Source organism: Homo sapiens, chromosome 2 (genome assembly GCF_000001405.40).
Source record: "Homo sapiens chromosome 2, GRCh38.p14 Primary Assembly".
NCBI lineage: Eukaryota > Metazoa > Chordata > Mammalia > Primates > Hominidae > Homo > Homo sapiens.
The window spans coordinates 73,939,764-73,957,570 of NC_000002.12; the positions used below are offsets into that span (position 1 = coordinate 73,939,764).

At 42.9% G+C, this 17,807-nt stretch overlaps 1 protein-coding gene across 16 annotated transcripts in view; it reads left to right on the plus strand.

The window, feature by feature from the left end:
• DGUOK (deoxyguanosine kinase) overlaps positions 1–17,807 on the plus strand; it is a 32,067-nt gene that overhangs the window by 12,884 nt on the left and 1,376 nt on the right. For 3 of the 16 annotated variants that reach the window (NM_001318861.2, NM_080916.3, NM_001318860.2), the window contains 3 exons: positions 6,956–7,143; positions 10,822–10,969; positions 17,362–17,477. The exons of 1 other annotated variant lie outside the window; for it this stretch is intronic. In NM_001318861.2, the coding sequence (NP_001305790.1) occupies positions 6,992–7,143; positions 10,822–10,969; positions 17,362–17,477 (416 nt within the window). In that variant the 5' untranslated portion in view covers positions 6,956–6,991. The remainder of the gene's footprint in view (positions 1–6,955; positions 7,144–10,821; positions 10,970–17,361; positions 17,478–17,807) is intronic. 12 more of the 16 variants (NM_001318862.2, XM_011532647.3, NM_001318863.2 and 9 more) reach the window with 7 other exon arrangements.

Genomic DNA, 17,807 nt, shown 5'->3' on the forward strand with positions numbered 1-17,807 from the left:
TAATGAGCCATGTTGCACCCCTGTGACTCTGACTCATTGGTTCAAGTTCTACCTCTTAAGTCTTTTAACTTTTCGCCGTAACAACCCTATATATAGTTGAAGGTAATGATTTTCCTGTTCTTTCTCCCCCTCAAGTCTCTCTCCTTTTTTTTTTTTTTTTGACAGTCTCATTCTGTCACCCAGGCTGGGGTGCAATGGTGTGATCTCGGCCCACTGTAACCTCCAACTCCTGGGTTCAAGTGATTCTCATGCCTCAGCCTCCTGAGTAGCTGGGACTATGGGTGCATGCCACCATGCTGGGATACTTTTTGTATCTTTAGTAGAGACAGGGTTTCGCCATGTTGGCCAGGCTGGTCTCAAACTCCTGGGCTCAAGTGATCCACCCACCTTGGCCTCCAAAGTGCTGGGATTATAGGCATGAGCCACCATGCCTGGTCAAGTCTTCTCTCTTTCAAGCCAAACACCTCCAGTTTTCCTCCAGGCTATTCTTTACTCTGAAGTAACTTTACCTAAGTGATGAGTCCTAGTTTGTTCACTTTCCACTTTGAATTTACTAAGAGTGCTACTTGGAGGTGAACAGGACATTCTGGATGTAGTCTAAGTGGGACAGAGTATCATGGAACTTGTTCTGGGTGCCATTTTTTTTTATTCCAACCCAGAATTGTGTTACCTTTTGTGGCTGGCATATCATGCCTATTGAGGATTTTTGCTGCTTAAGTTGTCTCTTTATATGTCTGTATGTGTGCCTGTGTGTGTATTTGTGAAATTAACTTTCCTATGCAGGAATAAATTACATATCTTTTTCTGAGTATGCCACAGGTCACCTGTGTGTATTTCAAAATACAGTCATGGGCTGCATAATGATGTTTCTGTCAATGATAGACCTTGTATACAATGGTGGCCCCATAAGATTATAACAACATATTTTTACTGTACCTTTTCTATGTTTAGATACACAAATACTTACCATTGTGTTACAGTTGCCTACAGTATTCAATACAGTAGCATGCGATACAGCTTTGTAGCCTAGGAGCAATAGGGTGTGTCATATAGCATAGGTGTGTAGCAGGCTATCCCATCTAGGTTTGTGTGAGTACATTTTCTGATGGTCACACAGTGACAAAATTGTCTAACGACACATTTCTCAGAACATATTCCTGTTGTTAAGTGGTACATGATTGCATGTCCACAATTGTTTGATATTCCTCCCTTCTAGAAGTAGAGCGTAATTCTTGCCTTGAATGCAGCTGGACTTTGTGATTTGTTTCTAGTAAATAGAAAGTAGCAAAAATAAGAAATACCTTTCTAGGGTAGGTCATAAGAGACACTGTAGCTTCCATCTTGTTCTGGGGGAAGCCAGCTGCCATGTCAGGAAGCAGCCTTTTCAAGGGGGCCACACGGAAGGAACTGAGGCCTCCTGTGAACAGGTACGTGAGTCTTTTTGGAATTGGATCTTTCAGCCACAGTCCAGCCTTCATACAACTGTAGCCTCAGCCAACATCTTGACTGAAACTTCATGAGAAACCCTGAGGCCCAGCCACCCAGCTAAGCTCCTTCCCAAATTCCTTCCCCATAGAAACTGAGATAATGAATGTTTTTGTTTAAGCCACTGAATTCTGGCATAATTTGTTAGGCAGCAATAGATAACTAATCATCCTGTAATCCCATTATTCAGAAGTAAAATGGACATTTTTCTACAGAGAAAATGTATAGATTTACATATACTTACATAAATGTATAAAATATATATACATTTGCTTTTTGAAACAAAAATTTTGATTGCCACCTGTATGTCACTTAATAGACAAGATCTCCCTTTCACAGTGATATCATTTTAATGGTTGTAGTGTACTGCATAATATGAATATTATCATTTAGTTATCCAGTCCTCTATTTTGAATGTTTAGTTTTCTAATTTCTTCCTATTATAAGCAGTGTTGCAATGATGAATATCATTGTAGCTATACTGCTTGTTTTTTAATATAAAGCCATGTTTTGTGTATCTTTTTGTTCTTTAGTGAATTGCCTGTCCAAACCCCTTGCCTTGTTTTTTTCTATTGAGATCTTCATCTTTGTGTAATGGCTTCATAAAAACTCATTGTATGTTAAGTATATTAACTCTGTCATATATTTGTTTGTCATTTTCTTTTTTTTTTTTTTTTTGAAACGGGGTCTCGCCTTGTCGCCCAGGCTGGAGTCCAGTGGTGTGATCTTGGCTCAGTGCAACCTCTGCCTTCCGAGTTCAAGCAGTTCTCCCTGCCTCAGCCTCCTGAGTAGCTGGGATTACAGGTGCCTGCCACCACACCCAGCTAATTATTGAATATTTAGTAGAGATGGGGTTTCACCATGTTGGCCAGGCTGGTCTGGAACTCCTGACCTCAGGTAATCCACCTGAATTGGCCTCCCAAAGTGCTGAGATTACAGGCGTGAGCCACTGCGCCCGACCATGTCATTTTTCTTTTATCTTGGTATATAATATATTTTTACAATATAATACATTTCAGTTTTTATGTAGTCTAACCTGTCCTTCTTTTTCCTCATAGTTAGCACCTTTGATGTTAAAATTGTAGCCCAGGAGTATAAAAATAATCTATTTCTTTTTGTTGCTTTTATGGTTTTATGTTTTATGTGGCTTTACAAGTTATAAGACTTTAGTTTTTTCACAAATGGTTATCTACTTAGCCAGTAGTATTCTTGTTTATTCCTGAGCAGAATATATATTTTGTTTTTATTGTGACTGAGATCTTTTTTCCACATCATCTTCTGAAACTGGTTATTGCTGTTTTAATGGAAAACAGTTGATTGTTATATTTATCTTATATGATTTAATTTCTCATTATTTTTTTATTTGCTTGAAGTTTTGGAAAATAATAGTTGTCTCTAAATAGTAATCATTTGAAAGAGTTTTCTAATATCTGTGCCACATTTCTATTTTCTTGTTTTCTTTCATTGGGTAGAACTTCCAGAGCAATATAAACTAATAGCAGTGAGGGTAGTTTCCTTATCTTGTTCTGTCATTAATGAAACTGCCTCTAATATATCAGTGTTAAGTTTAATGTTTATTATTCATTTCAGTAGACCGTGTGGTACACGTACCCTTTTGTTACTAGAATAGTAACTGTTTTTATCATGATCAAATGTTGAATTTCCATCAAAAACCACTTTAGCATCTAGTGAGATAAACAAGGGGTTTTTCTTTTTAATCTCTTAGTATTAGTCATAGATTTAATAATGGTACCATCCTCACATTTCTAGAATGAACTTTTTTTTGGTCATGATGTACTATTCCATTAATTTGGTAATGTGTTGTTTGGAATTTTGCATGTATATTTATTTATACAGTTGGTTGGTATTATTATTTGTGTGTATGGTGATTTTTGTTTGTTTTGACTTTTGGGTTCTTTTTAGGCAGGGTCTTCCTCTGTCACCCAGGCTGGAGTGTAGTGGCATGATCATAGCTCACTGCAGCCTTGAAGTCCTGGACTCAGGTATCTTCCCACCTCAGTCTCTTGGTGAGTTGGGACTATAGGTGCATACCACTGTCCCCATCTACTTAAAAATTTTTTTTTTTTTTTTTTTGTAGAGATAGGGTCTCACTTTGCTGCCCAGGCTGGTCTCGAACTCCTGGGCTCAAGCGACCCTTCCACCTCGGACTCCCAAGGTGTTGGGACCACAGATGTGAGCTGTGATGCCTGGCCCATGTGTAGTTTGTGACAGGTTTTACCATCAATGTTATGAAAATAAATGGAGAAATTTTGCATCTTTTCTAGCATAGAAATGATCTATTCCTTGAAGGTATGATAGAAATCATCTTTAAGATTATATGGATTCAGTACTGTTTGAGGGGAATCATTATTGGACAACTGTTTTCTGCCTCAGTTATTCAGGTTTTTTTTTTTTTTTAAGATGGAGTTTTGCTCCTGTTGCCCAGGCCAGAGTGCAATGGCACGATCTCAGCTCATTGTAACCTCCGCCTCCCAGGTTCAAGCGATTCTCCTGCCTCAGCCTCCCAAGTAGTTGGGATTACAGGCATACCACCATGCCCGGCTAATTTTGTATTTTTAGTAGAGACAGGCTTTCACCATGTTGGCCAGACTGGTCTCGAATTCCTAACCTCAGGCGATTCACCCACTTTGGCCTCCCAAAGTGCCGGGATTACAGGCATGAGCCACCATGTCCAGCCCCTAGGGAGAATTTCTTAAGCTGATACTCTTTTCTTTTTCTTTAAAGAGTCTCACTCTGTCACCCAGGCTGGAATGCAGTGGCCCTATTATAGCTCACTGCAGCATTGCTTCTCAGCCTTTTGGCTAAGATCAAGTGTATAGCTCACTGTAGCACTGAACTCCTGGGTTCAAGCAAATCCTCCCACCTCAGCCACCAGAGTAGCTGGGACTACAGGCATGCACCACTATGCCCAGGTAACTTTTAAATTTTTTTGTGGAGACAGAGTCTCACTATGTTGCCCAAGTTAGTCTTGAACTCTTGGCCTCAAGCAATCCTCCTGCCTTGGCCTCCCAAAGTGCTTGGGTTATAGGTGTGAGCCCCCATACCTAGCCCTTAAACTGATACTCTGTAAGGATCTTCTAATTCACTAATTAGGTTTACTGCATTATACAGTCTGCTAGCTACCATCTTCATTATCTTCATTGGGTGTTTTACTTGGGCAATTGCATTTTTCACCTCTAAGAAAGTTATTTTCTTATTGTTCCTTTTTTATGATAGCTTATTCTTGTTTTATCAGCAAGGCCGTATCTTTTGTTTTCTCCTGTTTCTGACAACAGCCCTGTCTGAGCACAGAGACTAGTCCTCTCCTTTTGAATTGCTAAGTATTTTTGTGTCCAATTATTGTTCATCTGTTTGCTTATATTTTTGGAAGGATGTTTGCATTTGTTCTGTAGCTGAGATGGGTTCTTTCAGAAATTGTGTTGGTTTCTTTTACATTTTTGGTTCCAGAAGAGTCTCTCTTTGATAGCCCAAAGCCCACTGGTGCAATAGAACCCACCAGTCAACCTATTGCATCTGCCAGCACAGCACTCCGCTCCACATACAGTGTGTGAATTGTGCAACAGGCCCAGGGCTGCTCCCAACCATCTCTAGTGACACCACAGAGACTACAGGAGACACAAATTTGTCCTCCTACTTCTACCTCCAGCTCTTAGTCAGGGGCCACGTGTGAGGCTGGTATGTGTGGGCTTGCGGGGTCAGAAGGAGGGAAATCCCGAAAATACCTCTGAGTTAAATGCTTTTCTGGTCCACTCTGCTCTATATGTGTTGTTTCTGCTGAAGCCTTTCAAAGGGCTAAGACCCTTCTTTGGAATCTAATAGTGCTATTTTGCCAAATTGGACTTCTTACTGTTGTTGAATCTTTTTTCTCCTTCTGTCCTGTTGTCTCTACCTGAAGTACAATCTTCTTAATCTCCATTTCCATCTGTGAGAATTCTACTCATCAGTTACTTCCCAGCTTAATGCCACTTTCTTTCAGAAACTCCCTGAGATTCCTTCCACCATCAGTAATCGTCCCTTCATCACATGTTCTGCCTTACATTCCAGCTTCGTACATCCTCATCACCCTCTTCCTTTTTGCACTGTGAGCTCTTTGAGTTCAGGAACTGTCTTGTTCACCTTTAGATGGAGGGTGTTGGAATGATGAGGTTAGAGGAAGCCAGGTTTGAGTCCCTTCAACATTTACTCGCCATGAAACCTTGCACAAGTAAGTTACTTAACCTCTGAGTGGATTTTCCCCTCTGGAAAATGGGCATTACAACAGTACCTACCTCATGAAGCTGTTTTGAAGATTAATTGAGGTAACATACCACAGTAAAGGTTGAAATAAATGTTAATTCCTTTTTCTATACCCTTACGGTACCCTGCCCATGTAGCGCCTCATCCACACAGGCCTTCAGTGATTGGTGATTGAATAAAAAATACAGATCCAAAGTGCTTTTGTACAAAATTCACTTTTGCATTGTTGAGTCAATGGCAGATCCAGAAAAGAATCTGGGGCTGGGCGTGGTGGCTCACGCCTGTAATTCCAGCACTTTGGGAGGACAGGAGTTCGAGACCAGCCTGGCCAACATGGTGAAACCCTGTCTCTACTAAAAATACAAAAATTAGCTTGTCGTGGTGGCGGGTGCCTGTGATCCCAGCCACTCAGGAGGCTGAGGCAGGAGAATCACTTGAACTCGGCTGGGGTGGGGAGGAGGGCGGAGGTTGCAGTGAGCCGGGAGGTTGCAGTGAGCTGAGATCGTGCCACTGCACTCCAGCCTGGGTGGCAGAGTGAGACTCTGTCTCAAAAAAAAAAAAAAAAAATCCGGGGCTGCTGAACATCCCACACTTGTGCCCACTTGCACATGCCGAGTAAGTGGAACGTTTTAATTATGTTTCATAAAGTCTCTAGAATTAAGTAGGGTTTTGTTTTAACAAACAAATTGTACTCCTTATATGAAAGATAAAATTCTATTTGGTGGTTGATTGGTTGGATTTTCAAATAAGCAGTTGCTTTCTGGTTTGCCTTGACATTTTATAAACATAACTACAGATGGAAGCTCAAAAGAGAGGCAACATAGTGTTATAGTGGAAAGATTTGATTCAGAGTTAAATTTTAGATGGTTGTTGACTGTTAACTCCTCCCCAGACAGACTTCACAAATCCCTCAATCAGTGATCGTGTTAATTCTATATATGGTTCTTCCTCTGCTTTTGTTATATTGAAGTGGCATGTCATCTCCCTTTAGAGAGTCTTATTTAATAGGTAGGAAAATCTCATACCTGATTATGAAATTTTGACTAAGCTGGGGATCTGATTCTACCTTTTTGGTGGAAGGAAACTTTTGTAATTTCTTCTTTCATTGATTATTAAACCTGTTTGGGGAGGTAGGGGTGTGTGTGGAGGGGTGTACCCCATGGAGTAAATATGCTTTCTAGGAAATTTTCTTCTTTTTTTCATCTCCCTCTAGGCCTGCACTGCCCAAAGTCTTGGAAACTTGCTGGATATGATGTACCGGGAGCCAGCACGATGGTCCTACACATTCCAGACATTTTCCTTTTTGAGCCGCCTGAAAGTACAGCTGGAGCCCTTCCCTGAGAAACTCTTACAGGCCAGGAAGCCAGTACAGATCTTTGAGAGGTCTGTGTACAGTGACAGGTAAAATGCCAAGCCCTCCACCAGTCACAAGCCCCATGCTCAGTGCTGCCTGTTTGATCTTGCACAGATCCTGCACTGCTATGGTCACTGATGATTATAATTTGAAAAATTATCTTCTTTTTTAAAGACAACACTATACAGATTTGTCCAGAGTTGTACTTCTACCAGATTGTCATCTATGTCAAGAAAGGAAATTGGGTTTTTCATCAACTGAATGCTTTGAATTTCTTACATTGCTACTGATTACCTTATGTTTCCTTATTTTCTGGCATGGAGCAAGCTGGTAGCCACCTAATGTAACCATCACATGCTAAAAGGCACATAATAGACACTTAAGTAGCAGTGTATATTCTAAGAAATCAGATGATTCAGTGGTTGATTATCCCCTTTAAGAAAAAAGCAGACGAAATTAAAATTTGTGTTCCTGAAAATGATATAAGAGATATTTTCAGCCTTTTTTTTTTATTGTTCAAGAAAGGATGCTTAGGCAGAAATAGCACATCTGAGAAACTGGCTTCTGTCTCAGATTTAGCCCTTTTTGACCCCTTCTTCTGTGAGAGGGCTTTTTGCTGGCCAGAGTCTAGTGGACATCAGTGCCTGTGTCAGATCAGGGATGGGCATCATCCTGACCACCTGAGGGAGTGAGATGTGAAGTCACTTTGAATGCAAGCTAGCAGCACCCTGGGAAGTGAGCCCATCTGCTCCAGAAGAGCTAGGCCGTGCAGGCTCCGGAATGCCTGGCTCTGCTGCAGAGACCAGGCTGTGACTTGAGGTTAAGCCGCCTAGAGACAAAGTCAGGATGGCTTGATCTGGACACTGCTGGAGTTTTTCTTATCTGAAGCCTATGAATGACCAGTGTCAGTGTGAAATAGTGCTTTCAAGCAAAACGATCTTTCTTAAGGCTCTTTGAATTATCAAAATGGGAAGTGGTACATTTTCATTGTCACTGCTGAAGACACTCAGTTGGTTACTCTTTTAATTCCAAATTAGACAAACTAGTTCTATTTCTTAGTGCTTCCGGAAAGCCTCCTAGAAGAAAAAAAATAAGGATACATTTGTAAATGACAAGTGATTTTTCTGACTTTACCCTAAAATCATGGAAGATATGTAAAACAAACCCTATAGGCTATCCGTTCCTTGTGTACGTACCCCGAGAGAGCCTACTTTTTATAAAAGCTAAATATGTGAATTACAAATGGCTGGGCTATAGGTTTTACTTCTTTTTCAGCTGTTGGATATCCCACCTGCCTGTTTTCCTCTCTTCTCTCCCAAGCCATGCCTCTCGGACTCCGAAGTTGAATTACATATAACCACATGGGTTGTTTGGAAACATAGTCAGTCTTTATTTCTAGCCGCTTCATGAAGTAGGTGTGTGAGACCCTCAGAGGAAAATAGAGAAGTAGAAACACTTTGTTAATTAGAAATGCATTAAGAAGCTGCATGGATCTTAACCTTTGCTTGTAAAGGAAGAGGTAATAATTGATTACACTGTGGGCATACAACATTCCAGGTGCTATCTTCAGTGAGGGCATTTTCGAGACAGAAAGGAAAACTAATCACAAGTTCTAATCCCGAGGGTAATTTAGACTTTGTTCACTTGCACAGATTTATTGGATGCCTCCTGTGTTGAAGCACCAAGGCTGGCCCTGGGGCTGCAGCAGTGAATAAGGCAGACCCAGTCCCTGCCTAACAGGGACTGAACACATGCTCACGTGTGTGATATTTGTTCCAAAGGAGGAACACAGGTTATCTGGGAGAGTTGATTATAGCGAGGAAGAAATCTTAGTCTTTTCTGTTTGAGTTAAAGGAAACATTAGCATATGGTTTTAGAGCAGAGGCCCTGACTCCTAGATCCTTATGCCCTGTTCTGTCCTGCAGCCCCTGCATTCAGTCTGCAGTACTTCCCTCCCACTCAGCACCACACCCTTCTGCCCCTCACCCCATCACCACCACAAGCTTTGAAGAAATAAAGGAAGTGCTCTTTCTCAAGAAAGCCAAGAACCCCTTTCATAGGGCTTATTAGCAAATCTTTAATTTCTCTTTATAAGATCCTTTTTTGTTTTAAGACAGAGTCTCGCTCTGTCGCCCAGGCTGGAGTGCAGTGGTGTAATCTTGGCTCACTGCAACCTCCGCCTCCTGGGTTCAAGCAATTCTTGTGCCTCAGTCTCCTGAGTAGCTGGGATTACAGGGACACGCCATCATGCCTGGCTAATTTTTGTGTTTTTAGTAGAAACGGGGTTTCACCATGTTGGCCAGGCTGGTCTCAAACTCCTGGCCTCAGGTGATCCGTCCGCCTCAGCCTCCAAAAGTGCTGGGATTACAGGTGTGAGCCACAGTGCGTGGCCACTTTATAGGATCTTAATTTCATCTTCTAGTTATCTGTAAAGAACTCAAAAACATTTTGAGTTTAAAATGTTACCCTTTTATTTGTTCTCATCAACTAGACTATGGCTAAACCATTCCAGACTGGGAAAGTTTACTTGTGGAGTTTCTAAGTTAGCTTCTTCATAGCCTAACAAAAAGCAGTTATAATAATAACTAAGATATCTAGAAGACTATGTGCCAGTCACTCTTCTAAGCACTTTGTGAGGATTATTACAAGACATCATCATAACAGGCTGAGAGGATTTAGGTGACTTGCCTGAAGTTACATAGCTAGTGAATGTTTCAGCCAGTATCAGACCCTGAAATGTTATTCTGGAAGGTATTCTCTCAGTGGTGACACTCACAGCCTTGCAGTCTGTACTTTCCTGAGCCATCATACACAAGGGTTCTGAATTTTATTTTCTCCAAAGTGGCCAGTTGCTGAGCATTGCCTTGGAAACTGGAGTCCCTTGCTTAGGATGCAAATTGTGTTTTTTATTAAAATGCCTGAGGTTTGAAAGCAGGATTGACCCCTGGTTTGTCTGAAGCCATGGTTTATGTTTAGCTCTGATTTCCTGTTTACCAGATGCTCTTTTGGTTGTAGAAATAAGCAGGGGGCAAAGCTGGTTTGATTTTTAGCTTTAGCTTTCTTTTATCTGAACTAGAAACTCAGCAGCAGAGGAAGCAAGCAAGCAGGAGCTCATAATGCATTTTGCAGGAGAGTCTGCTTTCTTAGTAATACTGAAATTAGTAGGAAATGCATTTTCTGCTCCATAGAGGACACCACATAAATACTATTTCTTCTGCATGTCTCAGCTAAACAAAAGGATGGCTCAGTAGCCTGGAGACTTAGAAGCCCTCAGTCCTTGTATGAAATTTAGTGGGTGGATTTATACTGGATTCACTTGTTTATTTGTTTTGGGCCTTGCTATAATAATAATAAGGAAATCTCAAAAGTTCAAGTTTACATATATTTGCTGTATGTTCTGACTGGTTTCTAGCAGAGAAAATTGTTAGGGACCAATGATACTATCTTCTGTCTCTTTTCTTCCAGTGAATCAATCCATCTGGAAAGGTGTGATTTCAGCCTCCAAAGTCTAGATCCTATTTCCCATCTTAGTACTGAGCAGGGAGGGAGATATGGGTTAAGAATTCAGATTTCTTAAGGATTGATGAGGAGCTAGAAAGGTTAAGTGGTTTGAACAGACATGGAACAAGTTGGTTATTGATTTTTCTGCTTCTCTCTCTCTCTCGTGCCTTTCATTCCATTTCCCATTCTCCTGCCCTCCCCATTCCCATCCCACTTCCAACCAGGTATATCTTTGCAAAGAATCTTTTTGAAAATGGTTCCCTCAGTGACATCGAGTGGCATATCTATCAGGACTGGCATTCTTTTCTCCTGTGGGAGTTTGCCAGCCGGATCACATTACATGGCTTCATCTACCTCCAGGCTTCTCCCCAGGTAACACTGAACCTACAACCTTAGACTTTAGGGCCATATGAAACCTAAGAAGTGACATTCTCCAAGCCCCTGATTTTCTGGTTGGAGAGATTAGAGCGTAGACATTACCTGCAGCACAGAGAGCAGTGGGGGACACCCTCCTGTCCCAGCGTTGAGCACCCTGTTCCCCACTGGCTTCGTGTAGCAGAGTGCTAAAGCCATTGACTATGCATAAAAGGATTGCTGTTGATGTAGGAACAACAGAGCAAATCGAGTGTCATCTTTATGATGACGCTTAGGGTTTGCAGGTGGGACGCTCTGACCTGTAGCCACTTGCCTCAGCTCCTCCTTTACTCTGACTGGGTCATCAGAGTGTGTAGTCTCAGTGGTTTCCTTAGTAAGATGTGAGGAGGAAGAGGAGAATTTTCTCACCTCATCATGATACTGCCCTAATTTATAGCCCTTTTTTGAACTGTGATGCCATTGGGAAGGCAGGATGGACTATAGCAGTTCCATTCTGTGACTCTCTGGCTGGTGCCATCCTACATGAAGTAGGATGATGTCACGGCAGGAGCACCAGAGTCTCTGGAGATAGAAGTGAGCTGTGGCTTCTGCTGACTGGTAGTGACCTTGGGCAGCCCCTGGAGACCTTTCCACTGGAGAGATCCTTGCCTGTAAAATCCACTGGTTCAATCTAGACGATCTCTAAGGGCTCTTCTGGAGTGGGATTCTGAGTCAAGGTGAGTTTTTTTTTTTTAGAGATGTACTGCTCTCAGCTTTTGAGATATACATCCAATATATAGTCAAATGCCAGATATACCACATACTGTTAGAAGGAAGGAAAGCTGTCTCCAAGCTAGAGGCTATGCTTTTTAGAGATGGAACTGAGACTTGTGGGCAGAAAGGAGCCGAGAACAGACTGAGCAGAACCAGAGGATGAGTGGGAGAGCTCCCATCACAGAGCCTCACACCAGCCAACGAGGAGAGGACTGGAAGGAAGGGTCTTGCCTTAAGAAGGTGGCAACCAGGAAAAAAGGCCCTTGAATGTGACTGGGGCCAGATATTGGGGATCTTTGTGTTGAGAGTTTCTGGACATTTTGAGGCAAAAGCTAGATCGTACGAGGGAATAAGAGATTCTACAGAAATAAATAAGGGTTAAAGTTTAAAATGAAACTGGGCTGGTGCAGTGGCTCATGCCTACAATCCCAGCACTTTGGGAGGCTGGCGTGGGAGGATCACTTGAGGCCAGGAGTTCAAGACCAGCATAGGCGATATAGTGCGACTCCATTTCTACAAAAAAGTTTAAAAATTAGCTGAGTGTGGTTATGTGTGCCTGTGGTTTTAGCTATTGGGGAGGTGAGACAGGAGGATCACCTAAGTCCAGGAGCTCGAGGCTACAGTGAGCTGTGATCGTGCCACTATACTCCAGCCCAGGTGACAGCGTGAGAACTTGTTTCTAAAATAAAATAAAACTGAACTAAAGATTCAGTGAGGCCAGAGGGCTAATAATCTTCCATGGAAAGAACCACACTAAAGTTAGATGCATTGATTGCAAGTTGACAAGGTGGGTCATGTTTATGTGACTTCTTTCAATAGTCTTCATTGCCTGAGAGCCAGAATAGAAGAAGGGGATTATACTTTAGGGGTAGAGATTAGTGTCAGCGATTGTGGGGAGAGGAGTCCCCTCTCAAAGAGGACAGTTTGAAGTGTCAAAGTGTAGGGTTCAAGTTGGGAGAGAAGTCCTGAGCCCCAGGAAGGCTTGTGGCCTGGGCCAAAGAGGAGTGAGAGTGCTGTGAGGTTGGATTGAGTAAAGATCCTGGTTGGAATTTGAAGAAGTGACAGGTTTCCTATGGGAGTCTTGGGATGGCTGGACTGAAAGAAGCAGGAGGTTCTCAGGACGAGCTGAGCATTAGGAGAAGTGAGAATGCTGACTTAACCTTTTCCAAGAGAACAGCACATTCAGCTCAGTGCCATGAAGCCAGCATTGGGGAGGAGTGAGAGAGGAAGTGGGCTGACTCATTCCTGGGAGTAAAATGGGGCTACTTGGGCCAGCTGAAGAGGCTCTTGTTTCTGGGGAGTGGAAGTTGGACCCAGCAAGGAGAACAAGAAAGTCTTAATTGCTTTTCTTCTTTGTGCACTCTGAATGACCTTATAACAGAATGCCTGAAACTGGTTAATTTATAAAGAGGCTTATTTTGGCTCACAGTTATGGAGACTGGGAAGTCCAAATTGGGCAGCCTTAACTTCCATTGAGGACCTCCTGCTGCCTCATCATATGATGAGGTGGAAGGGAGCAGGCATGTGCAAAAGGGGCAAGATAGGAGGAGCAGCCTTGCTTTATAACATCCCACTCTCATGGCAACTGGTCCAATCCCACGAGAGTGAGAACTCATTCCGGCGAGAATTAACCCAGTCCCAAGAGAGTGGCATTAATCTGTCTTAACAACCTAATCACCTCTTAAAGGCCCCACCTCTCAGCACTACCACACTAAGGACCAAATTTCCAACACATGAATTCTGGGGGGATACACTCAAACCATAGCAAATGGTGATGATGATGATGATGATCATCATCATCATCGTCGTCGTCGTCGTCGTCGTCGTCACTTGGGGGCAGATCTGCCCTTTTGGAGAGGCTAATTGAAATATTTCAGCTGGAGTAGAATGAGAAGAGTTGAAGGATTATTACAACTTAATGGCAGAAAAGAAAAATAGCTTATTCATTTTGAGATTAGATGGGGATTTTAATGCTGTTTTGATGGCATTAGTTCCAGAGATGCAGGAATGCCCATGTTTCTTCCCTGAAGTCACACTTGACCTCTTCTGTGAAATTCAGAGGTAACTGTGCCCAAGGGAAGAGCAGAATAGAAGTTGTCCTGTCACTATGTAAAAAGCTGTGCAAGTGCCCAATCTTCCAGTTCAGAGCCCTCGTAAATACTGAGTTTCGAGCATGTCAGATGGACTTCGTAGGTCCTTCTGCTCCTTTCTACCTATTCTTCCCTAACTTCTTTTTTTTTTTTTTTTTTTTTTGAGACAGAGTTTTGCTCTGTTGCCCAGGCTGGAGTGGCACGATCTCTGCTCACTGCAAGCTCCGCCTCCCGGGTTCACAGCATTCTCCTGCCTCAGCCTCCCGAGTAGCTGGGACTACAGGCACCCGCCACCACACCCGGCTAATTTTTTTTTGTATTTTTAGTAGAGACGGGGTTTCACCATGTTAGCCAGGATGGTCTCGATCTCCTGACGTGATCCGCCCGCCTCGGCCTCCCAAAGTGCTGGGATTACAGGCATGAGCCACCGCGTCTGGCCCCCTAACTTCTTAAAAGCCAGCAAGCCGGGCCAGACTGGACCAGGCGGGTGCAGTGGCTCATGCCTGCAATGCCAGCACTTTGGGAGACCAAGGTGGGAGGACTGCTTGAGCCCAGGAGTTTAAGACCCACCTGGGCAACATAGTGAGAGCCCCCTGCCCTCTACAAAAAATTTAAAAATTAGCCAAGCATGGTGGTGTGTCTGTATTCCCAGCTACTCAGCAGGCTGAGGTGGGATATCACTTGAGCCTGGGAGATTGAGGCTGCAGTGAGTCAGGATTACACCACTGCATTTCAGCCTAGGCCACAAAGCAAGACCCTGTCTCAAATAAATGAATAAATAAATTTTTTTTTTTAGAAAAGGCAACTCAGGCCGGGCACGGTGACTCACGCCTGTAATCCCAGCACTTTGGGAGGCTGAGATGGGAGGATTGCTTGAGGCCAGGAGCTCAAGACGAGCATGGTCAACATAGGGAGACCCCATCTCTAAAAATTTTTTTTAAAACACAAGCAAGCTAACAATTTTAAAACTCAAAAGAGAAATAGCTAGGCCTCAGTGTTCCTAGCCAGCCCCATGGAATCAAGAGAGTGCAGCTGATCAATGTACATCAAAAAGCCAGGCCCTACCTGGGACTGGCACAGCATGGGGACAGCATGCAGGAGGTGCATGGGACAAATGGCACCTGGGTTTGGGCTTGAGAGGCATAGTGAAAAGACCCACTAGCAGTCACTTTCCATTTTCTGTTTCTGACTCCAAGCAAGCAGAGCAGCAGTTCTTCTTCCTGGGTGGGACAGGTTAAGAAGACCAGTAAAGGGTCTCTCCCTCGCCACTTGTAGCTACACTATCTTTCCTGTTCACATTCAGGTGTGTCTTCCTCATGAGGACTGAGATGAAGAGGGGTCAGACTAAAGCACTGTTTGCACGGGATTTTTTTAAATAGAATTTGTTATAGCGATATCAGTAAAGCAAGAGTTATGCCAAATGCTCATAGTAGGAGTTTACTTCGACCTCTTTTTTTTTCCCCACTCAATACTGCCACCAGTTAAGACTTAGACTTCTCAGGGAAATCCATTTGCTCTGTTAAGGAAATTAATAGTAAATAGAAATATGTTAGCTTATTTTAATAGATCAATGTTAGTGTCAAGGTTTGTCTGCAAGCAGTGAATGAATAATTATAAATAGCTTTCCTAAAAAGAATTGTTCTGCCTTTGTGTGTGTACTTGGAAACATAAAGTCACATTTTAAAAAAATTTATTTTCACGAAACAGACAACATTTTTTTTCTCAGAAAGGAAAATGAGATGATAGCTTTGCTATGCTTAGAAATCCTAAAGCTACCTTTCTGGTGGGAATATAAATTGGTTAACCTCTAAGGAGGCAGTCTGGCAGTATATAATTGCAAGTGCATATACCTTTTGATCATTAATAAAATTTGTTTCTATAATTTCATTTCCTTAGAGAAAAGGTAAGATAAGAGGGAAACAGCAAAGACTCCCAAGTCTTTGGGATTATTGTGTACTACATTTGGAAATTAAGTTTTCATTTCTTAAGTAAGTTATTGAAAGAGGGAAGTCCTGGCCGGGCACGGTGGCTCACGCCTGTAATCCCAGCATTTTGAGAAGCCGAAGCGGGCAGATCACGATGCCAAGAGATCGAGACCATCCTGGCCGACATGGTGAAACCCCATCTCTACTAAAAATACAAAAAATTAGTTGGGCGTGGTGGCTCCCGCCTGTAGTCCCAGCTACTTGAGAGGCTGAGGCAAGAGAATCACTTGAACCTGGGAGGCAGAGGTTGCAGTGAGCTGAGATCGCGCCACTGCACTCCAGCCTGGCAACAGAGCAAGACTCTGTCTCAAAAAAAAAGAGTGAAGTCCTAAATCAGTGGGTTAATCCATCTGTTCTTCCAGGACAGATGATATTGAATAATGAAATGTTTGTCAAGCAGAGAGAGGACTGAGGATAATTCAGTCAAAACAAACATTTGGAGCAAAAATTTTGAGGTGTGAAAGAGCCTGGCCTGTTCCCCAGGAAAGAGGTCAAATCTGGCTAAAGCAGTGAGTCCAGGGGAAGAGCTAAGGCAGTTGAGAAGTAGGAGGGGTAGCTTTGTGTGACAGGTAAAGAAGATGTCATTTTCTGAGCCAGTGTGCATCAAACTTCACTACCAGATGAATGCAGAATAGAATTATGTACACTCTGCAAAGCAGCGGGGGAGGAGAGTTAGTCTCAAGCCTCACTTGTTTTTCCACTTCTTTGTTTTATCTTTGACCTGTGCAAATTTTACATTCTATTCCTGAGTGAATGTTTGGTATGACATGAAAGAGATATTTCAAATTACCTAACATTTTATAAATGCAATGCTATTCATACATACTGCTTTGAACCCTGGGGCTATGGCTGTAGGCGGTAAAGAGCCTGTGAAGTATTTTCAGCAAGGAAAGTCATGTCATTATATTGCCGTACTACAGACGGGTGGAGTGAAGGGGAAAAACTGGAAGGAGGGAACAGCTTTTGCCAGGAGCTCAATACAACTTACCTCAGTGACCTGTGGATGGGTAGACAATGAGGAAATAGAAGCCCACAAGGACTGCACTGCTAGTACCTTATGAAGGCAGGAATTTACTCCTGGACTTTCTGACCTTAAGGCCTGTACTCTGTCCATATGCTTCCCTGCCTCCAGGAGGCAGAACCAGAAGGCTCTTGCCATAATCCAGGTAAGAAGTAAAGAGGACCCGACCAGGGCAGAGGTGAGAGGAGAGGCAAGGAGAGAACATTCTAGAGAGATGAAAGAGAATTGAGTGACTTCCCAGATATAGTAGGGAGAAGGAAAAACAAGGAAAATTCCAGGTCCGTGGCTTGGATGACTGGATGGATGATGTTCATCATTAACCGACTTAGGATACTTCAGAGGAAGAGCAGGTTTAAGGTGGAGATGGGAAAAGAATGGTGTAGATCCTCTGATTGCATAAGAAAACAAGACAGCAGAAGCAAAGGCATGGCTTGTAATGCCCAAGATAGACATTATGGGTGGGCCTCAGAGCCCCCGAAGACTGCATTGTAGCAGCCAAAACAGCAAAGAGCTCATCAGGGCTTGGGGACTGTCTTTTAGGTTTGTTTGAAGAGACTGTACCAGAGGGCCAGGGAGGAGGAGAAAGGAATTGAGCTGGCCTATCTAGAGCAGCTGCATGGCCAACACGAAGCCTGGCTTATTCACAAGACAACGAAGTAAGTGGGGAGAAAAGAATGTATCAGAGACAGAGACCTGGCTCCCAACAGCCAGTTGTTAAAAACAAGTTCAGCATGCAGCCCCCTGTAGGAAGGTTCAGAATATACTGGAAATGGTTGGAAATGTCAAGCATTTTCCAACTCAGAAGTTTAATATTGCTGGACACCGTGGCTCACGCCTGTAATCCCAGCACTTTGGGAGGCTGAGGCAGTCACCTGAGGTCAGGATTCAAGACCAGCCTGGCCAACATGGTGAAACCCTGTCTCTACTAAAAATAGAAAAATTAGCCAGGTGTGGTGTCAGGCGCCTGTAATACCAGCTACTCGGGA